The sequence below is a fragment of the Homo sapiens genome, chromosome 12 (genome assembly GCF_000001405.40).
Source record: "Homo sapiens chromosome 12, GRCh38.p14 Primary Assembly".
NCBI lineage: Eukaryota > Metazoa > Chordata > Mammalia > Primates > Hominidae > Homo > Homo sapiens.
The window spans coordinates 43,881,148-43,904,986 of record NC_000012.12 but is presented as its reverse complement, the minus strand read 5'-3'; the positions used below and the strand labels follow the sequence as shown (position 1 = coordinate 43,904,986).

At 39.2% G+C, this 23,839-nt stretch overlaps 1 protein-coding gene across 8 annotated transcripts in view, besides 1 other annotated feature; it reads right to left on the bottom strand.

Moving 5' to 3' along the window:
• The window catches only part of TMEM117 (transmembrane protein 117), a 603,307-nt gene that overhangs the window by 494,122 nt on the left and 85,346 nt on the right, over positions 1–23,839 (bottom strand). The window lies entirely within an intron of this gene.
• Positions 4,853–5,581: an enhancer, noted in NCBI's record as "NANOG hESC enhancer chr12:44293209-44293937 (GRCh37/hg19 assembly coordinates)". NCBI's record gives its function as "activates a minimal SCP1, AML or CMV promoter by ChIP-STARR-seq in naive H9 embryonic stem cells {active_cell/tissue: H9 hESC(naive)}" and the evidence as "EXISTENCE:reporter gene assay evidence [ECO:0000049][PMID:30033119]".

The following is a 23,839-nucleotide window of genomic DNA, read 5'->3' as shown; positions in this document are numbered from 1 at the left end:
TTTTTAGTAGAGACAGGGTTTCTCCTTGTTGGTTAGGCTGGTCTCGAACTCCCGACCTCAGGTGATCTGCCTGCCTTGTCCTCCCAAAGTGCTGGGATTACAGGCGTGAGCCACCACGCCCAGCCAAAAACAGATCGTTTGATAAGCAAATGTTGATGCAAATGTTATTTTGGAGTGAAGAAACTGGAACAACAAGGGACTAAACTGCTTGGTATAACAATGTAAAAAAGTTTTCTTGCGTACAGAGAATATTAGTTCTATAACTGATTTTTCTTCTTCAGATGTAAATGTTTAGGACCAGGGAAATGGAAGCCAGGCACCAACCCGGGAGTGATAAATGATCAACAGATCAATGTAGTGCTATTGAGTACACAAAGGAGTCACTGAGGCAGGGTTAAGCACTTGCTCAAGCACTCTTGGTGGTAGAAAAATTAGAAAGGACAGAATTCTTGTTCCAAAAGAGCTGGCTGGGGCCTCAGGAGAAAGACTGCTTTGTGAAAGGGCCTGATGAAAGGTCTAGGATTGGGGACATTAAAATTTAAATAGATATTAAAAGTTAAATAGAATTTAAAACACTAATATCATTAGGAATCATTTTGTCTGTTTGTTTTAAAAGACAGGATCTTGCTCTGTCCCCTAGGCTGGAGTGCAGTGGTACCATCATAGCTCACTGTAGCCTTGAACTCCTGGGCTCAAGCTATCCTCCCCCATCAGCCTACAAAGTTCTGGGATTACAGGCATGAGCCACCGTGTCTGGCCTAAAAGGTTGTTTTTAAGGAAATAAACTTTCTTCTTATGAACTATTTAATGAATCTGTTTTATTGAACGATTTTGAGGAAATTAAGAAATCATTCTTTTTAATTTGTGAACATGTCAAGTTGTTCATGCAAACTGATCTTAGAAAAATCAAAATACTTCTTTTCTTAAATGATACCATCTGGCAAAATGACCAGGCATTCACTTATAACACAATACTCTGTGAATGCATGATCATTAAATATGATAGTGATGAAAGTTAAAGAATTGGGCTTTGTTTCTTTTTGTGGAAGAAAAAGTTAAGCCATCAGAATGATGGCATTTGAGTACATAAAGGAGTCATTGAGGCAGGGTTAAACACTTGCTCAGCCATTCTTGGTGGTAGGAAAATTAGAAAGGAGAGGATTCTTGTTCCAAGAGGTCAGATAACCAGATAACCATGGGTAGGCATATAAATGGCCCAGGCTGAGCTGCACTGCAAGATCAAGTGTTCCTTGGGTTGAATAATCTCCAAGAGAAAGAGCTCACTAGCAGAAACTCTCTTGTAAAGTGCAGACATATCAAACATTTTAACATTTTCTTTAATGTCAGAGTTCCCCTAAACCCACATCTTAGGCTATAAATGCTCCTTTATCACCTGCCTCTTCATTTTATCTTTATCTAAAAAGAAAGCTGCCAACTTCAGTAGATATTTTTCAAATATTCTAACCAGTTTTAAATGAAATTGAATGTAAATTATTAATGCAACACATAAAAATCATTCTAACAAAATGTTCTGCTGTACTGATATCCCATTTTTTATGTGAGATGACTCATTCTAATGTCCCTTAATCTGTATTTTTCTTTATTCTATATTCAATAAGTCCCTCTTGGACTCAATTGATTTTATATCCTCAACACTCGATTTCTTAGAAAAGTTTTTATTAAAACACCAGCAGAAGCAGTGAATAGTAGTGCTTAGTGACCTTTTCCCATCCAGCACACTAGAAAAATCAGATTATACTTTTCATAATTTCATGGCATCCACTTTTCTTGACTTGTACCCAAAAAATATATACAATACTTCTTCTGAAAAGTATATATCAAGTAGCACCAAGAGAGGTCTGATAATATTTTATTCTTTTTCTAAGCATAACTGGACTCTAGAAAATCAAGTAAATTTCAGAAAACTTTAAAACTGGGAAGAGTAAAGTTACTAATGTCACAGTTTAAAAATTCCATCAATACCTCATGAGTTTTCCAGAAAAGGTCAACCAGAAAATAAAGGTCTTCCATTTTTTGATCTATAATTTTAGGAAAAATAATTTACTTGCAGCATTTTTTTTTTCTATTTAGGTACTGTTGTGCTTTTGTCCTTGTTAAGCTACTCTTGGGTTTTAATCAGTTATCCAGTTTTTTAAGATTATGCTGAAATCTTATTTACTAATATGCAAGTAACTATTTTTACTTGATGCCATTTGAGTAACTAATGGCTTGTTCTCTAATCTATCCATTAAATGGAAGTGTTAAATAGCACTGAATCTAGGACTGGCTCCTCTGGGTCATCATGTATCCCTCTTACTTCTAAAACATTAATAGTCACCTTTGGGTGATACTACCATGGTCTGTCTGGTTCCAATACCCTCCTACCCCTATCCCTTGTCTCCCCACAGTGGAAGCCACTTAAGCTTTCCTGGATGTTCAATCTTATCTCAGGCTTTGGACCAACAGCATCCTCACGAGAAGGGAACTTTAGCTCAATGTAGAGCACTAGATATCAAGTCAACCTTGCTATTAGTTCAATTCTGAAAACTGACTCTTTGGCAAAGTTCTAACAACAGGCTTCTGTCTTGTTTTCCTGAAATCAAGTCCCAGCTGATCCTCTAGATGTGGTAACTGGGTCCCTTGCTCATTTCCTTCTGTGCCTGGGCCTTTGTTCTGATAAAACCATTATGTCAGCTCTCTGGATACCATAAAGTATCTTCCTGAAATAATCTTTCCCCCAGTGTCTATAGTTATGCCTTGGTCCCAACCCATCTCCAGCCTCCCTCACTCAAGGACATGTCTAGTTCCAACTTCCAGGTTCCCTAGATCACTTCTGTTCCAGTTAACACCGTCAGGTGTGACTCTGCTTTGCAATATAAGACAACCAGTTGTAAATTCACTAACAGAATGCACAATTGATCAAACAGCGTATTTTCACAGATTTATAAACCTATAAAATTTATGTAGGTTGAGTAAGCAAATGTCTTCCCAAATCCATAAAATGTTAACATTATCATTTTCTCTATGTAATATGCCACCATTATCACCACAGAATAGACCACAAAATGTAAATTTTGTATATTGTTATAAGAAATGGTACAATATTTACTGAATACTAAATCCCATTCTCTCCCAGGCTCTTGAAAAAAACATTAGGCAAACAGATTCATAATTTCATGGAATACATATATTTTACTTCCTTTCTTTTTGAAATAGAGACCTTAAAAATGCCTTCAGGTGCTTCATCTATTCTTCGTAATCCTAAAAAGTTGGTTAGTAGCGCTGTGATGCTCTGCTCTATTGTGTACACTAGCAGTTTCACTTTATAATTTTCTTGTTGAGGAAAATGACACATGTAAATAAGTTAAACAGCACCAGCCAGGTGTGATGGCTCACGCCTGTAATCCCAGCAATTTGGGAGGCTGAGATGGTGGATCACTTGAGGTCAGGAGTTCAAGACCAGCCTGGACAACATAGTGAAACCCCGTCTCTTACTAAAAACACAAAAATTAGCTGGGCTTGGTGGCACATGCCTATAATCCCAGCTACTCAGGAGGCTGAGGCAGAAGAATGGCTTGAACCCAGGAGGCGGAGGTTGCAGTGAGCCGAGATTACGCTACTGCACTCCAGCCTGGGCAACAGAGCAAGACTCCGTCTCAAAAACAAAAAAAACCAAAAACAAACAAACAAAAAACGGGGCAAATGAATGATCTATTGTTGAAAAAGAAAGCATCTGGAGAAAAATAACTCTCATATGCTACTAGCAGAAACATAACTTGTTTCATTCTTTTCAGAAAGCCTTTGCACAATTTGTTTCCAGAGCTTTCTTAAAAGTCGACTCATTTTGACCCAATAATTCTCTTTCTAGGAGTCTTTCCAAAAAAATTAGACATTTATTCAAAGATTTATATACAAAAATGTTTCATTTATATCAAAAGAAAAATAGAAACAACCTAAGTAAGCAATGAAGGTTGATTCAATAAATCACAGTACAACTATCTATATGATGGGCTATAATACTTAATGAAATCAGGGAAATCCAGAAAATAAATTGTGCTCTGGTTAGTCAAGAGTCTTCGAATAGTAGGTGATTTTAATTTTCTTTTCCTTTTTCATTGTTCTTCCTCTTCTTTTCTTTTCTTCCTTCCTCTCTCTCTCTCTGTTCTGTAGTTTCCAAATGTTCTATACTTAACATGCATTGCTCTTTAAATAACCCCTCCCCCAAAAAGAAAGAATTGAAGAGAATGTAAAATAATTTTTTTTTTTTTTGAGACAAAGTCTCACTCTGTCGCCCAGGCTGGAGTACAGTGGCGCGATCTCAGCTCACTGCAAACTCCATCTCCTTGGTTCAAGCGATTCTCCTTCCTCAGCCTCCCAAGTAGCTGGGATTACAGGCATGTGCAACCACACCTGGCCAATTTTTGTATTTTTAGTAGAGACAGAGTTTCACCATATTGGCCAGGCTGATCTCGAACTCCTGACCTTGTGATCCACCCGCCTCGGCCTCCCAAAATGCTGGGATTACAGGTGTGAGCCACCGTGCCCAGCCGAGAATGTAAGATAATTTAAGGGCATGAGAGTTTCTTCAAGTATAATAAAGAAAAATCTAATTGATTTCTTTTTAATTCCTTAATAAATTAATGGGTAATTTTCCAAAAAGCAGTGGTCGCTGCTGTAACTTCCTAAACTACCTCTGGGTAATGACTGCCCCCATCCTCAGAACACTGTCCCAGCAGATCTCTAAAGCAGATGTTAAGGCAAAAGTTAGCAAGCAAATAAACCAAAAAACCCTATATGCAAGGACCCTATTTAAATACAATATGCTGCAGCAAACTCCAGCGGTCTAATCCCACCAGTAGATTTTTACTGTAGTTTGGAGGATCAGATTTGAGAATAAGCTGAGAAATGAGTTGTGAGTGGGCTCCAAACTTTAAAACTTACCTTCGATTATAAACCACCTTCAATTATAAACCATTAGCAGGAAATGATCATGGATGGTGTGAACACTCACTGAATGCTTACCAATTTTGTCCCACTTCATAGTAATACACATGAGAATAAAATGAATATATATAAATCTTTATTATAAACCTCTTCAGAGAGAAGAAAAGCACAAGGTCACATATCTAGGTAGTGGCAAATCCAGCTCTGTCTGCTTCCAAAGCTCATCTTCTTTCTAATACACTACTTAGGACTAAAGATCCTGCCAGTTCAAAAGAGGACAATTAAAGAGAATGTATGTAAAGTACTTTGCACTGTGGTGGGTATTGGGCAGGTGCTCAATAAATAGTAGTCTTTTTTATAATTGCTAAAAGTTAGTAACTTGTGTACATTCTCATTTGAAAAAAATAAAAATTTAGGGAAACACACCTGAAATGAATTTCAAAGATCTTCTGTTAATTGAAGTGGCTTACTGAGGAAACAAAGCACAACTCCCCAGGACTCCAATATGCAGAATTCACAATATGGCAAACTACTGTTTCTTCAGAATGATCATGATAGGAGGCTGGTTATTATTGCCACTTAAAAATGAATATATGAACTACCAATGTTTTACATTGTACATACAATAAAACCCCCAACCACATACTAAAAATAAGTTTATATTTTTAACGATGAAGAAAGTTCAGAATCTTTTACAAATTATCAACATAAATTGTCACTGTGGTTTATAAACAGTACTCATCAGTAAAGATTTTCAGTAAAAGGAGCCCTAGATAATCCAACTTTCACTACCTTACAAAGTTCATTGCTAATAGGCTGCTTTCAATTGCAGCTAAGAAAAATATTTTGGGTTTTGTAATTAAACATATTTAGGATCAGACTTCAAGCAATATGAATCTACAGAAAACAGCTACTTTCATGTGGTTAGATTAGGACTTGTATTGAATTCTCAGCAGTATGAAAGGTTCTTGTGCAAGGGCAGGGGCTGCATTCTCAAGATCTTTCTGATCTTGCCTTAACACTTGGTTATCTGCCTATAACATATATTCGACAGAAATCCACTGACGGACAGCTGCTCCATCCCAGCTAGAAAATGACCGCTGTCTTTCTTGGCTGAAGTAAGAATCTGGAAGTTCTCAAGTCTGTCAGATCGGTTACTTTTTCAACAACTTATGGGGCCACTTTTGTCTCAGAGCCAATCCTACTTTCGGTAGATCTTCTTAGACTCTCCGGTTCTGTTGCAAATGCTAATGAATCAGTTCAGGAGTTGAATTTCAAGAAAGTATCATGTAAGAGAAGCACCCTATTACAGTACAACTAACTACTGTGTTGTACATTGTGAAGTAAGTTATTTAACACCGACATCACATGCTGCTCTCAGCCATGGAAAACTGTGCAGGGGACACTATAATAGGTCAATGAGATTAACTCACTCCTGGAACACTGAAGGCACTTTTTTCCTGTATCCTAGATATCTAAAGTGGATTACAGATGAGATGAAAACAGCCTCCCATCCCACAGCCAGATCTAGAATAGATCTAGAAATGTGAGGTTCAAGTAGGGTCTATTATTAACCTATTCTTAATAGAAAGGGTCTATTAATCATTATTAATCACAATATGTCCTGAAGTGTATTATTAATTATTAATATATTATTAATTAATATATATTATTAATAATATATATTAATCACAATATATCCTGAAAGTCCAGCTTGACACTAAAATACCTAAAAGGGCATTCATATGTCTAGCTAGATTACTAAGAGAAAAATTACACCATTAACAGGAAATAAAGTCACAAGAACTCAGATTCATAGGATTAAGAGTGAAGAAGTACTTCAAACATCATCCCAAATCTACAAACTCATCTGGAGGGAAAGATGAGGAATTCTGTTTTGAGCTGTTAAGTTTCAGATGCCAATAAGTAAAGAGCAGAAATTAGGAGAGAAGCTAAAACTGAAGGAAATCGGTGTGTGTGTGTGTGTGTGTGTGCGTGCGTGTGTGTGTGTGTGCGCATGTGCATGTGTGTGCAGTATATTAGTCACATTCATAGCCTTGACAGCCGACGCCATGGGAATTAGACAAGGGTCATGAGAGAAAAAGCATGGACAAAGAAAATGAAGGCAAAGGCCAGGCACAATGGCTCATGCCTGTAATCCCAGCATTTTGGAAGGCCAAAGCTGGAGTGGATCACTTGAGGTCAGGAGTTTGAGACCAGCCTGGCCAACATGGTGACACCTCACCTCTGCAAAAAAAAAATACAAAAATTAGCTGGGCATGGTGGCACGCGCCTGTGGTCCAGCTACCCAGGAGGCTGAGGCAGGAGAATGGCTTGAACCCAGGAGGCAGAGGCAACAGTGAGCCAATAACATGCCACTGCACTCCAGCCTGGGAAACAGAGCAAGACTCTGTCTCTAAAAAAAGAAAAGTCCAGGCGCGGTGGCTCACGCCTATAATTCCAACACTTTGGGAGGCTGAGGCGGGCGGATCACGAGTTCAAGAGATGGAGACACCATCCTGGCCAACATGGTGAAACCCCATCTCTACTAAAAATACAAAAATTAGCTGGGCCATGGTGGTGCATGCCTGTAGTCCCAGCTACTCAGGAGACTGAGGCAGGAGAATCACTTGAACCCAGGAGGCGGAAGTTGCAGTGAGCCAAGATCATGCCATTGTACCCCAGCCCAGGTGACAATGTGAGACTCTGTCTCAAAAAAAAAAAAAAAAAGAATGGTTACAAAAGGAAAGTATAGATGGAACTGATAGGTAAGAAAAGAATTGAAATAATTCAGTACCACAAAAGTCCAAGGAAACATTTCAAGAAAGCAGCTCTCGGCAGAAGTTTAAGAATATGGTGAGAGACTGAGGAAAATGTAGACTGAGAAGACTGAATGTGGCAATGTTTTATTCAAAGCATTTGGGGTTGCAAAAGAACACTCAATATAGTTCAAGTGAGGGAGAATTTACTTAATAATCAGAGAGGCAATCTCACAGAGAAAGAAAAAGTTGTCTTATAGGCACTTGACTCAGGCAACTAGGTCTAGTCATTCTCTCGAAGTTTATATGATGAATCTCATCTTCTCTATTTGTTCTCTTGAGCAGCTTCCTCTTCTTGCACACAGACCAATACGGTTGCCTGACACAAAAATATATTAAATTATAGGGCAAACACCCACCATAAACTGAAACCTCCTCATATTAATGCAAACTGATTAGAAAATATGATAAAATGATAAGCTGTGGGTCAGCAATTGAGTTCACCAGCCTTGGATTATGTGCACATTCCTATCCAGTCAACTGTAGTGAGGGAGGAGTCACATGCTATAACCATGGCCAACAAAGCCTCCAGCAAAGGCCATGGCCTGAGAAAAAATGTCAAAAGCATGTATAGGAAGTGTGGACCACAAAAAAAAAAATGTGTTTATTTCAGGCAACCTAGAAGTGACTGTTACAATGAATCCAATGTTCAAAAACATGGGGTTGCCTACCCTGTACAAGGTGCTATAGACTGAACTCAAATGTTGCGTCTTCCCAAATGTCAGCAGAGTAGGAGACAAAGCAAGTTGAGGACAACCACATAACAACAAACTATGAACAATGTAACTGCCATATAAAAGTGATCAGATGACTAGAGGAAACACAAATGACTTTATAGAAGAGGTGATATTTTTGCTGAGCTCTGAAAAATGACTAAGATTTTAATAAGAGATGGAAACAGGGAGATTGGGAAGGAGAAGGCACAATCTAGAAGACACTGTCTCCACTGATAGTCTGAGAACCTCCTGAGGGTAAGGAATATTTCCCACGAACCTTTATATCTCCAGTGCCTCATACACTATTGCTGCAAGGTAGGAGCTCAATTAATGTTAGTATTTTATTATTAAATATTGTGATGGTCAATACTATGTGTCAACTTGGTTGGATTGAAGGATGCAAAGTATTGTTCTTGGGTGTGTCTTTAAGGGTGCTGCCAAAGGAGACTGACATTTGAGTCAGAGGACTGGGAAAGGCAGACCCACCCTCAATCTGAATGGGCACCATCCCATCTAACCAGCTGCCAGTGTGGCTAGAATAAAGCAGGCAGGAGAAAATGAAATTGCAGATTTGCTGAGTCTTACAGCCTTCATCAGCAAAATTATGAGAATGTTTTGAGCCTGTTTAGAAAATAACAATATTCAGTACTTGAAGACTATTGAGACATAAAAGGAAGGGTAAGTTTAAGGACATATTATGAAGGGCCTTAACATAAACTAAGCATTAGCATTAGCATTAGCATGGACCTTTAGCATGGTGTACGGAATATCACTGCCCTGGAAACAAAGAGACTAAATTGTAGCACCAGATCTGATAAAAGTTTCCTTGACCATTTCTCATGTATAACATGAGACTGGCAAATTTTCTCCACCACTTCAGACAGTTGTTTTGATATGTGAATTAAATAATGTTGTATTGAAGATGGTGTCATTCACCTTTGTATTCCCCACAGCACCCATCACAGAACTTTGCCCAGTAAATGTATAATGGCTTTAATTCATTTATAAACTGTAAAACTATTCAAATATAACAAGACACATGCACGCATATGTTCATTGCTGCACTATTCACAATAGCAAAGCCACAGAATCAACCTAAATGCGCGTCAGTGATAGACTGGATAAAGAAAATGTGGCACATATACACCACAGAACACTATGCAGCCATAAAAAAGAACAAGATCATGTCCTTTGCAAAGACATGGATAGAGATGAAGGCCATTATCCTTAGCAAACTTACACAGGAACACAAAACCAAACACCTCATGTTGTTATTGACAAGCAGGAGCTAAAGGATGAGAACACATCGACACATAAAAAGGAACAGCCCACCACACTAAGGTCTTTTGGAGAGTGGAGAGTGGGAGGAGGAAGAGAATCAGGAAAAATAACTAATGGATACTAGGCTTAATAATGGGTGATGAAATAATCTGCACAACAAACCCCCATGACACAAGTTTACTTATGTAACAAATCTCCACTTATAGCCCTGAACTTAAAATAAAAGTTAAAAAAAGCAAAATGTTCAATCCTCACAATTAATAAACCCATTGAACTTAGTACATATGCAATAATTATGTGTTCAACTGAGTTAGTTTTTATTTCTGTATATATTTTCTAAGAATATTGCCACATAAATTCTATTTAAAAAAAAAGGGCATTGAAAATCTGTGATGTCAACAGCAAAGATGTGGAATCAACCAGAATGTCCATCAATGACAGACGGGATAAAGAAAATGTACATACACACCATGGAATACTATGCAGCCACAAAAAGAATGAGATCAAGTCCTTTGCAGGGACATGAATAGAGCTGGGGGCCATTATCCTTAGCAAACTAATGCAGGAACAGAAAACCAAATACCACGAATTCTAGGTGGGAGCTAAATGATGAGAACACACAGACTTACACAGAGGGTAGCAGTATACACTGGGGCCTATTGGAGGGTGGAGGGTGGGAGGGAGAGAAGGAGGAACTATAACTAGTACGTTCCAGGCTTAATACCTGGGTGATGAAATAATCTGTACAACCAACCCCCATGACACATGTTTACCTATGTAACAAACATGCACATCCTGCATATGTACCCCCAAACTTAAAAGTTAAATTTTAAAAAAAAGAAAGAAAAAGAAAATCTGTAATGTGACACTAGGGATGCAAAAATGAACCAGCCACCATTCTCTCCCTCAAAGAATTTACAATTTAATAAGGAAGATGAGACATCTGTGAAAATACATTTAATACCAACCAACACCTTGAAAATGGAAATGTGAGTAAGGGAGTATGCTTTGGTAGCTGTCCCCAAGGTGGCTGCCATTAATTTCTTCTCTCCCTGTATGTCCATGCCATGCTCTTGGCAATGAGCAGAGACTTTCTTTCCACTCTTGAATCTGAGCTGGCCTGTGATTTCAGTGACCAATACAGTACCATGGAAGTATTGGTATGTCAGTTCCAGACCTGGCCTTTAAGAGGAATGGCAGCTTCCATCTTGGTCTCCTGATGGCTTTAAGAAGTTGTCATGCTGAGAAAAGCCAAAGCTCAGAAGGATGAGGTACCATGCAGAGGTGGAGAAAGGCCAAGAAGCACTGAGGTGCCAAACTTGTGAGTGAATAAGCCTTCTTGAAAATTGATCCTCTAGTCCCAGCTACTTCAGCTGATGAGTCACGCACCCGAGTCCTTCATGTATTTCTAACCCACAAAATCACAAGCAAGGTAAAATTGATATTCTAAACCAGTAAGTCTGGGTTAGGGTTTTAGGCAGTAATAGATAAGTGAAATATATGGGATAACAGAAGAAAAATTAATTTCAAAGTAGAGAATAGGGAAAGGTTCATGAAAAGGTGGTTTTGAAGAACAGGTAACATTTGGATGGAAAAAATGGCTAAAGGAGATTGTGATTTTTCACAAAGAGAATTGAGTATATAATGAATCATGGAGGTAAGAAAGTCTAGAATATCTAAGTAATGGACAGAGATTTAGGTTGATTTAAATATGCACTGAAAAAGGCAGAATTTTGAGAAATTTTTAGTGGGAATAAGTGCAAGACTGAAACTTGGTTTCAAAAAATGCCTTGAAGGTATCTGAACTACATACTGTAGCCAACTGAGTGATTTAAGTTTTTAAGCACTAAAGTGTCATAATATCCTCGCCTCTTCACTGCTCTCACCCTAGTCCAAGCCTCCATGATGTCTTAAGACTTCTAGAAAAGCATTTGATTTGTCTCTGTGCTTCCATTCTTGTTCTCTTACAGTTCGTTTTTGACACAGCAACTAATATAATCAATTAAAAATATAAATTAGGTCATGTCCCTTCCTGTTCAAAATGCTTTGAGAATTTTACATTATACTTAGAATAAAATCCAAACTCCTTATCGTGGCTTCCTAAAAGAGCCAACATAATCTGTTTGTTGCCTATTTTACCAAATTCATCTCCTTCCATGCTCTACCTTCCACACTGCACTCCAGCTACGCTGTCCTTCTTGCTGTTTCTGGAACATCATATCCAGCTCATTTCACCTCTGGGCTTTTCACTTGCTATTCCTTCTGCCTAGACATTCCCTTAAGTCTATGATAAAATCTCACCTTTTCAGACAAGCCTCCCTGATGACCTTATCTAAAATAGTGCCTACCCCATCCCTTGTTCTTTTCCCCTTAAACTGCTTTATTTCATAATCTTGACTACCATCTGACATTTACTATTCATTTTTCATTTATCTCTTTATAGTCTATCTTCTCTTATAGATCAAAACATGACAGGATTTTATCTATTTTGTTTATCACTGTAGCCCCAGTATCTAAAATAGTGGCTGATACATTGCAGATTTCCAATAAATATCTCTGGAATTTCCAGAAGGAAAGAAGGAAGTTAGATTAGAGCTACACTTTAGGAAGAGTGTACAGAAAATAGTTAACATAGCAGGCCTAAATTGCTGTCCTTAGAAAAGCCTGCTTGCAAAGTTGGCCCTTGGCTGGCATCTGGGAACTTGGATTTGGGGAAGGTTCCTATCATTCCATAATTTAAAAGCCTGGTTCATTATGCCTAAAATGTTTATATAAACGATATGGCTTACCCTGAACACCTGCTTTCCTTCTGGGAGCCTGGAATTTGGTAACATGCCAAGCAGAGGGTGCCCACAAGACCAGCACCCAATAAGAACCCTGGCCAATGAGTCTCTAACAAGTTTTCCTGGTTGGCAACATTTCCTATGTGTTGTCACAATCCCTTGCTGAGGGAATTAAGTGTGTCTTGTGTGCCTTCACTGGGAAACAATTCTGGAAGTTTGTGCCTAATTTCCCCAGGATTTTGCCCCACGCACCTTTTCCCTTAGTTGACTTTCTTTTAGATTCTTTCTCCATAATAAATCCCAGCCATGAGTCCTAATATATGCTGAGGCCTGTGAATTCTCCTCATGAGTCATTAAAACTAGGGGTAGTCTTGACCTCCTGATACCAGGAGTATTTTGACAGCAGCTTATAAGGTAGATTTGATGACTAATTATTGACAAAGAGGCCAGTTTGGAAAAAGGCTATTGCAATGGTCCAAGAGAGAGATATTGACAGTGTAGCAGTGGAGGCAAAAAAAATGGATTTTTTTAAAGTATATTTTCCACGGGACAGTTTTGCAAACTTCTAATGAAAGACATTGGATCACAAGAGGTTAAGGAATAATAGAGAACTAAGGAAGCTGAGAGTAAGTGCAGACTACTTTAAAACAATAGAGGAAAAAAATATGAGTATGGTAGTTTTAGGGTAGCCTGATAAGGAGAAAATTATATAAAATAAGAGGATATGAGTGTTTTCTAGAAAGCAGTTAGAAAGCTTAAAAATTCAAGAGGTATTTCTGGCTGGGCGCAGTGGCTCATGCCTGTAATCCCAGCACTTTGGGAGGCCAAGGCGGGTGGATCATGAGGTCAGGGGATCGAGACCATCCTGACTGACATGGTGAAACCCTGTCTCTACTAAAAAAAATTAGCCGGGCATGGTGGTGGGTGCCTGTAGTCCCAGCTACTGGGGAGGCTGAGGCAGGAGAATGGCATGAACCTGGGAGGCGGAGCTTGCAGTGAGCTGAGATCACGCCACTGCACTCCAGCCTGGGTGACAGGGTGAGACTCCATCTCAAAAAAAAAAAAAAAAAAAAAAATTCAAGAGGTATTTCCCAAAAGAAATGTTAGAAGATGCCTTAAGAACAGAAACAGAATCTGGAAAAGTTAAGACTGTAAGCTCAATGAGGACAGGTACTTCTGTGTGTTTTGTTCACTGGCATATTCCATGCACCTTGAAGAATACCTAACACATGGTATGCACTCAACAAATACTCGTCAAATGGTAAGGGAAAAGGAAGGGCCATTATTTTAAAAGTAGATAAATCCTGAAATGTGGAGGAATAGAATTGAGACACATCAAAGATGATTGTATCATATCTGTCAGTAAAGTAAGAAGCTAGTGGGTGTGGAGGAGGATGGCCCTCCACATGCATGACCACCTCTGGGGAAATCATTAGGAATCAATAAGAAAGTAACAAAAATAAGTACTGTTTTTCTGCCGAGATTTCCTCTTTAGAAAAAAAAAAGTCAGATGAATTTTTAAAATACTTTTAGAATATATATAACATGACATCTAAGTGAACTGAGACAAATCAATGTCTTCTTTAAAAGTATTCATAAGAAAATATCCCTTGGGGCTGGGCGCAGTGGCTCACACCTGTAATCCCAGCACTTTGGGAGGCTGAGGCTGGTGGATCACGAGGTCAGGAGTTCAAGACCAGCCTGGCCAAGATGGTGAAACCCCGTCTCTACTGAAAATACAAAAACTAGCCGGGTGTGGTGGCGGATGCCTGTAATCCCAGTTACTCGGGAGGCTGAGACAGGAGAATCCCTTGAACCCAGGAGGCGGAGGTTGCAGTGAGCCGAGATTGCACCACTACACTCCAGCCTGGGTGACGAGCAAAACTCCGTCTCAAAAACAAAAACAAAAAAAAACAAAAAAGAAGAGAAAATATCCCTTGGATAAATTCTTTCTCTAGCCCTAAAATCTGATGAAAAAGAAAGATGCTACTTTTGTCTTCAAAACCCATCTAGAATGACAGGACATCTAAACGATTCTCATTTGAATGAAGAGAGAAAAGGTACTTTTACACTGCATGGGGTGAGATTTATTGACAGATTTTCACTAACGGTCTTACAGTCCAGACCAAAGTACGATGTCAACCTAACCCAGAAGTTGCAAAAAGAATTGTTAACATTTGAAAGGAAAATACCAAAAATTAAATTTCTATTTATTTTATAACTGCTTCAAAAAGAGAACACTAAAAATAAATCTATATTCCTACATTAAATGTCACTTCTCTCCTTTTTATGAGTTACATATTATAGAACATGTCATGAATACTGGGTGGCACTTCCCAAATACCCCTTTTAAGACCAAATGACTGATTTTCCAAGCTGCTGGGAAGATTGTCAGCTGACTGATCTCAACTCTCAACTGTATAAAAGCCCAAGCTCTCATCCCACTCAGGCCTACTCTGAAGGACTATTCTAGTTTCAGAGCTCCCTGTGTGGTGCTCATAGGGACCCTGTTGTGACTATATTGCAACCGAACTGGTGCCTCTGTCTTATCCTGCTCTGCCTTCTTCCCTTCCCAAGACCACTCCCCATTGAACTTCCTGCACCTCCTTCTCAGAGACTGCTACCCAATGAACCTGCAAGAAAGATGCAAGAATCACCCATTGTTTTAAGAATTAAATATAAACAAAATCTATGTCTTGCTTTTTTCATAGTTTCAGCAAAGTGGTTATAGTCTGTCCCTCAACAGTTCTCTTATTTATAAGTAAATGCGACATTAGAAAGTAAAAAAAAAGATAAATCCTACTTTCAAACAAAACTATTTCAACCACACCATTTATTATCTACATTGGGGTCCCCAACCTCTGGGTCGCAGACTGGTACAGGTCCATGGCCTGTTAGGAACTGGACTGCGCAGCAGATGAGTGGCTGGAGAGCAAGCATTACTGCCTGGGCTCCACCTCCTGTCAGATCAGTGGCAGCATTAGATTCTCATAAGAGTGTGAACCCTATTGTGAACTGCACATGCGAGGGATCTAGGTTGTGTGCTCCTTTTAAGAATCCAGGCCAGGCTCGGTGGCTCACACCTATAATCCCAGCACTTTGGGAGGCCAAAGCAGGTGGATAACTTGAGGTCAGGAGTTCAAGACCTGCCTGGCCAACATGGTGAAACCCCGTCTTTACTAAAAATACAAAAATTAGCCAGGCATGGTGGCAGACGCCTGTAATCCCAGCTACTCATGAGGCTGAGGCAGGAGAATTGCTTGTACCCGGGAGGCGGAGGTTGCAGTGAGCCAAGATCATGCCATTGCACTCCAGCTTGGGTGACAAGAGCAAAACTCCATCTCAAAAAAAAAAAAAAGAATCCAACGCCTGAGGATCTAAAGTGCAAGTTTCATCCTGCAACCATCTCCTGCTCCCCTAACCCTGGTCACTGAAAAAACTGTCTTCCACAAAACCCACCCCGGTGCCAAAAAGGTTGGGGACCGCTGATCAACATTACCTTGGGCAACTTAATCTCTGATCCTCAGTTTCTTCATGATTTAAAAAAATTGTAATAGTATCTATCTCATTAAGTTGTTGTAATAATTAACTAATGTGGCAAGGCATGGTGGCTCACACCTGTAATCCCAGCACTTTGGGAGGCCGAGGTGGGCGGATCACGAGGTCAGGAGATCGAGACCATCCTGGCTAACGTGGTGAAACCCCGTCTCTACTAAAAATACAAAAAAATTAGCCAGGTGTGGTGGCAGGCACCTGTAGTCCCAGCTACTCGGGAGGCTGAGGCAGGAGAATGGCGTGAACCCGAGAGGCGGAGCTTGCAGTGAGCCGAGATCATGCCACTGCACTCCAGCCTGGGTGATAGAGCAAGACTCCATCTCAAAAAAAAAAAAAAAAAAAAAAGAAAACTAATGTGCACAAAAGTACACAATAAGGGCTCAATAAATATCCCCTAACTTCTCTCCATTCATTATCCATGGGGCATGAGTTCACAATTGCTTTTCCATAAGCAATTCATTCGCACTGATGATGCAAACCCCTACTAACAAAGAGCACATAATTATAAAATAGTTGTATGGCTAATGGATGGCATATCTGATCAATAAGATATGGGAAAGGATTATTCATACTACATAGAATCACATACAGAATAGTAAATTAGTCTTTACTGAGCCTTTAGAATATATGAAGTACAATGTGGAGGGTTTGGCATTTTGTATTTTCTTTAATCCTTGAAACAATACTGTGAGGTAGGTATTATGCCTATCTCTCAGATATGAAACTGGTGATGTTCGGAGAAAGTAAATTATTTAAGGTTACACATCTAGTAAGTGGCACAACCAACATCTGAACTTAGTTTTTCTGCACCTAGACTTTTGTATTATACTATAGAATCTCTTTTGCTTTACTTCTCTTCTACAGATTTGCCCCAAATAGAGGCTAACTTTGGCACACCAGCTATACAAAAACACATAGAGCCATCTTAGCTTCCACAGCATAGCACAGAAAGAAGGGATCTGTAACTGCTATTTTGATCCTCACTATGAAACAAACAAATGGTCTCACCTGCAGCCACATAATTTACTCTTACAGCCACAGCCCCTTTCCTTCCACACCCAGTCCATAAAATCTGTCTTCTCATCACTGTTGTTCTTGAGTAGATTGGTCCTTGTCTGGCTATTGAAGCTACCCCAGCCCTCTATCTGATCCTAAATAAGTACAACTTCTGCTGAACTTTCTGCCGTCATAAGTGTAACTTCTGCTGAATTTTTTTCCATCCAGGCCTTGGCAGTGAGATGCATCAGAGCTGTTGGAGTCAGGGTGCTGGCGGTCTTCTGCAGCAGGGGCACCTGTCCTGAGATCAAATGTCTGCACTGGCTGAAGGGCATGGTCACAAACCAGACTAAACCCTAAGTAGACTCCAGTTCCACATTTTAAAGAACATCCTTAGTTTAGTTTCTTGTAAAAGCCCCTATATATGCCACAATAGTTGTCTTCCAACTGTTTAATTTTTCATGATGCTATTTCAACAACCTACAATAATTTGTTTTACTCAGTTTTGTGTACATTGCACAAAACAGCAGGAAGAGAAGTACCTTCTTCACTTTTAACTGGCATTAATCATTACTCTCCCCAGGGAATAGCTATTTATAAGATTCTCAATAACATTTTATCCTAGGAAACTTCCTGAGCACTGGATTCTAGCTTTGTCCCAGGCAGTACTTCTGCTTCTTGCTTTAGGTAAAAATGACAGCAGGTGCAGCCACCCAACCCCTCACTGAAAATAAGTGAGGCCCAGGCCAGGCACGGTGGCACACACCTGTAATCCCAGCAGTTTGGGAGGCCTAGGAGGGCGGGTCACTTGAGGTCAGGAGCTCGAGACCAGCCTCACCAACATGGTAAAACCCCATCTCTACAGAAACATATAAAAATTAGCTGGTTGTCGTGGCATGTGCCTGTAGTCCCAGCTACTCCAGAGGCTGAGGCATGAGAATTGCTTGAACCCAGGAGGCAGAAGTTGCAGTGAACCGAGATCACGCCACAGCACACCAGTCTAGACAAGAGAGAGAGACTCTGTCTCCAAAAAAAGAGAAAATAGGTGAGGCCCACGGACACATAGAGCGGAACAATTCACACTGGGGCCTTTCTGGGGATGGAGGGTGGGAGGACAGAAAGGATCACGAAAAATAATTAATGGGTACTAGGCTTAATACCTGACTAATGAAATAACGTGTACAATAAACCCCCTTGACACACATTTACCTATGTAGCAAACCTGCACATCCTGCACATGTACCCCTGAACTTAAAAGTTAAAAAAAAGAAATGGCTACCTCGCCAGAAAAAAAACATTTCTCAAACCTATGTCCCCCTCAAATTATTGCTGTCTCTTTCCTCACCTTCAAAGCCCAATTTTTTAAGCTATGCAAGCTGTTTGAATTTGCCTAAGTACTATTTACTCCTGAACCAACTGCAATCTGACTTCTATCCCCACTCCACTGAAATATCTTTTATAAAATCTTAAGTGATCTACATACAAATCTAAGTGAAACATCCCAGTCCTTCCCTACTTGACCATTTTGTTGTTGTTGTTGTTGAAATACTCTCTTGTCTTGATGCCTATGACACCATACTCTCTTAGATATTTCCTCCATCTCTAGCAATTCTTCTTCCTCTTCTTTGCAGGTACACCGCCCTCTATATGTCCCTTATATTCCTTAGTCCCTGTTCTCCTCTCTCTTTACCTCCTTAGATGTTTTCTTGTAATCTTGTCTCCAGGATTTTCCACCATTAATCCTTCTTTCTGCTGCCAAAGTGATCTATACCATCTATCTAAATTATTACTCTACTGCTTAAGATCTTTTAATGCCTCTCTATAGCATATGGGATATATAATATGATACACAAGGTTCCCCCATGTCATGCTGACTGCCTTTATCTCTATCCCAACTTATGCTCAATATTCTAGAAATACCTCATTAGTTGTAATTATCTGTGCTCAACATACTGTTTCATAGTAAAATGTCTCATACCTGGAATGCTTATTCTCTTGTCCGTACTTAGCTAACTTCTACCTATTCTTTCAAATTAATCTCTTGTGTAACCATCTCCAGGAAGCCTTCACTGGTTACCTCTGGTTGAACTAAATGTCTGTCTTCTGTATTCTGAGAGCTTCCTGTGCATATCTGTATTACTGCTTCTACCATATTATGGTGAAATTTATTGTATACATATTTGTCTCACACGCTAAGGTTAAAGCTTTTTTATTTACACTTGGTCTTAGCCAAAAAGCCAAAAAGTAATAAATCTTCTTTATTAAAAAAAAAATAAAGTATATATTTATGCCTAAAAAGAAAACTCCCAAAAGTATTAACAGTAGTCATCTCAAAATGGTAAATTATAGATACTGTTCTTTTTTTCCCTCTTGGCTGCGTTTCCCTAATGTTTTACAATGAATTCACATTTGTTTTTTTAAAAAAAGTTCTTTCTCATGAAAATAAACTGTATCTGGATATCAAAAAAAAAAAGAAAAGAAAAGAAAAAGAAAATAGGGGAGGCCCTTAAATCTCTATGAAAGCAAGAGAACAAGTCAGGAGGGAAGCTGTACTCTATTCTCTTTGAAGCACTCACATGTTGACAACAAGCCTACACAGGCACAGGGCATGCTGATCTCAAAACAGTGTCCTTACACAGCCCGCCCTGACTAGGACCAATACACACAAAGCTGAATTGTTCACACCAAAAGAGGTCAGGTGGACATCCTGCTCTCAAGAGACTGTGATTGCTACGAATCCATGAAGTGTTTATTGGCTTGCTGCCTCACTTTCATAAATGGGATGGGATAGGTGTCTCGGGTAGCGACTATCTGGGGCCTGTATTGCGCAGGCAGTTAGAATAATTTACCAAGACATTAGTAAGTAAAGAAAAGCAGATTTATTAGAGAAAGCAGAAAGTATGAAAATACGTTGCGAGCGTGCCATGGGCAAGTCAGCAAGAGTGGAGCTGACTGCAAGGAGACAAAGGCTTGCTGGGGATTTTATAGGATGGTGCTTGTGCTGTGTGCTGAAGAGAGCTTTGTGCAGTACTGATAATGCCAAGAATGCAGTGTGCTAACTTGTAGGGTCTGGTGGTAAGTTGAATGCAGGAAGATTGTGAGTTATTTGTGCAGGAGGGCTACATGTCCTGGACCAGGAAGAAAGGCAGACTTAGCTTATCTGCTTTTTCTTTTGGCTTTCCCCTGTTCCCACCAGCCTGAGACTTTTTCCCTAATTAGGACTCCACGACAGGCAAACAAAACAGTAAGAGTGGAGCAAGAATATGGAAGATGGTAGAGACAGTTGCTTGGAAGATTCCACTTAAATGAATCCTTCCCTACCAAGAAAAGCCAATTGTCTTTTTTGGACAGACATGGGATCAAAACCCCCTCATCAACAGAAGCCTTTACTGGAGGCCATGAAACAAGCATAGATTTCTGGAAATGCTAGAGAGAACTGAACAGAAGTTATCACTAAAACAAATACTATAAATCTAAAAATAGCCTTTTTGGGAAAATGAGTTTGAATGAATTTTTTTATTCCATTGAGATTTACCTAATAAATAATACAATATAATAATATATACTATTTCATATACTGATCTAAAAGTATATTACCACATATCAACTCATGAAAGCATTTTAATTAATAAGCAAAGACAATATTTTCATACAAGTAAAATAGTCATTTCAGCTCTCTGCTGTCAATATGGGTAAATTTTGGCTCCTTTCACTAATAGAGTAATACAATCTTTCTTTCTTTCTTTTTTTTTTTTTTTTGAGATGGTATCACTCTGTTGCCCAGGCTGGAGTGCAGTGGTGTGATCATGGCTCACTGCAGCCTTGACCTTCTGTGCCCAAGAGAGCCTCTCACCTCAGCTTCCTGAGTAGCTGGACTACAGGCGTGAGCCATCACGCCCAGCTAATTTTTGTATTTCTTGTAGAGTCAGGGTTTTGCCATGTTGCCAAGGCTGGTCTCATACTCTTGGGCTCAAGCAATCCTCTGACCTCAGCCTCCCAAAGTGTTGAGATTATAGGCATGAGCCACTATGCCTGGCTACAGGCCACTCTTACTATATTTCCTCCCTTAGAATAGAGTTGCTTGGCTAGATCCTTGTTTGGGGTTTTTTTTTGTTTTTTGTTTTTTTTTTTGTCTTTCATACAAAGAAAGAATGGTATTTGTGTTATGTTTTCATCATCTGAACGTTTTTCACATTTTTACTAGGTTCCAAAGAAGGTAATATGCATAACTAAAGCACAATTTTAGAAATGGGCTGCCAGGGTCTCTACATTAAAAGGAAATCCAACTGATTCATTCCCTTATAACCACTCATAACTATTCTTACATCAGCCTGAAAGGCAATAAGTGGTTTTGGAAATCTTTATTTAGCTGATAGCTGGATGTTGGCTCATATTTTAACTGTCTTACTGTTTCTGGTTAATGTAATTCCAAATTATGAGAAATCTATTTTGTTCTCAGTATTTAAGATCTCAGCTATTTCATAGTTATTTTTGGCAGGCTTTGTATATGAAATGCGGTGATGAAGAGATATGACTTGAATAATCATATGTACTATAATACATCAAGAAGAAACAGAAAAAGACAAGAAATACATGATCCTGAGCCTTTCAACAATGTTTCTCTTTTTAAATGCATGTCTCCAAAATAACTAAAATCACTTCTTGAGAAAATGTAATAGGGCTTATTTATTATACCTCTTCTTCCTCATTTATCTAATGAAGCTTACTTGTATATACTAAATAACCTAAACATCCTCAAGTTTTACATTATAAAGAACAAAAATATAGAACTCTTCTCCTTTTTATAATGGATACAAAAACCACCATTGGAAACTTTTGGGAAAAATAACCCAAAAACTCAAATAAGAACTTTGCAATTTTAAAAAGCACTCCAAATCAGAATGCTCTTATTATATTGTCTCAACCTTAGCCTTGTGTAACTAAGAAAAATAAGTCCCAGAACTGAGATGAGCTTCAATTATAAAAGATGCTGCAGAGAAATGAACATCTTTATCGTTAATCTTAGTTTTTTTCCTCCAAACACCTGAAATGAATTTTTTTGCCAATTCCAGAATCTTAAAGTCTACATCTGATCATCGAATAAGCTGCTATGTTCAGTATATACCACCAGAAGGTGCCCTTGCCCAAGGAAGAAAGCCTCCTTTCCATACATGCACAGCTAAACTCCACAACATTTATGCTCATTGACCTAAAGTGAATTTAAAATCAACTTTTTATAGATGAAACCTCTTAGAGAAGAGCAAACTCTTCAGGTACTTCTAATGAAATTTTTGATGTGAGACAACAGAAAGTAGTGCTTGCAGAACGTGCAGACCTCTTTAAACTGTCCTCAAAATATGGGGTAAAGTGAGGTAATTTGGTAAAGAAGGATAAAGGATATAAACATAATATTTCTTTTTTTTTTTTTTTTTGAGATGAAGTTTCACTCTTGTCCCCAAAGCTGGAGTGCAATGGTGTGATCTTGGCTCACTGCAACTTCCACCTCCCGGGTTCAAGCGATTTTCCTGCCTCAGCCTCCTGAGTAGCTGGGATTACAGGTGCCTGCCACCAAGCCTGGCTAATGTTTGTATTTTTAGTAGAGACGTGGTTTCACCATGTCGGCCAGGATGATCTTGAACTCCTGACCTCAGGTGATCCGCCCGCCTTGGCCTTCCATAATATTTCTATGCCAAGACTGCTTAGAGAAGTACTGTGCAAGAGGAATATAATGCAAGCTTCACACATAATTTTAAATTTTTTAGTAAGTACATTTTTAAAGTCTTTGTTGTTGTTGTTGTTTTTTAGTTTGTTTGTTTTTTTTGAGACGGAGTCTTGCTCTGTCTCCCAGGCTGGAGTGCAGTGGCTCGATCTGGGCTCACTGCAAGCTCCGCCTCCTGGGTTCACGCCATTCTCCTGCCTCAGCCTCCTGAGTAGCTGGGACTACAGGCGCTTGCCACCACGCCCAGCTAATTTTTTGTATTTTTAGTAGAGATGGGGTTTCACTGTGTTAGCCAGGATGGTCTGCCCACCTCGCCCTCCCAAAGTGCTGGGATTACAGGCATGAGCCACTGTGCCTGGCCTTTTTTTTTTTTTTTTTTTTTTGAGACAAGAGTTTCACTCTTGTTGCCCAGACTGGAGTGCAATGGGGCCATCTCAGCTCACCGCAACCTCCACCTCCTGGGTTCAAGCGATTCTCCTGCCTCAGCCTCCTGAGTAGCTGGGATTACAGGCATGCACCACCACACCTGGATAATTTTGTAGATTTAGTAGAGATGGGGTTTCTCCATTTTGGTCAGGCTGGTCTCAAACTCCCAACCTTAGGTGATCCGCTGGCCTTGGCCTCCCAAAGTGTTGGGATTACAGGCATGAGCTTCCACGCCCGGACTTAAAGTCTTTCAAGAGTGAAATTGATTTTAATTTCCTATTTTACCTAATCAAATATATCTAAAATATTATCATGTCAACACATAATCAATATAAAAAGTATTAGTAAAATATCTTACATTTTCTTTGTATTCACTGCACTCCAGCCTGGGTGACAGAGAGTTCTTATGCTTACTGACACAAAGGAATGCACAAATGCTTTTCTCTAAATATCATATGAAAATAATTGGTCTAATTTCCCTTCATCTCTGTAATCTTTGGACTGCATAATAACCTACAAATATAAAGTAAAGTAAAATAAATCCTAGCCTTGTTTAATAATATCTATGTTCCTGATAGCACCAAACATAAAATATATAGG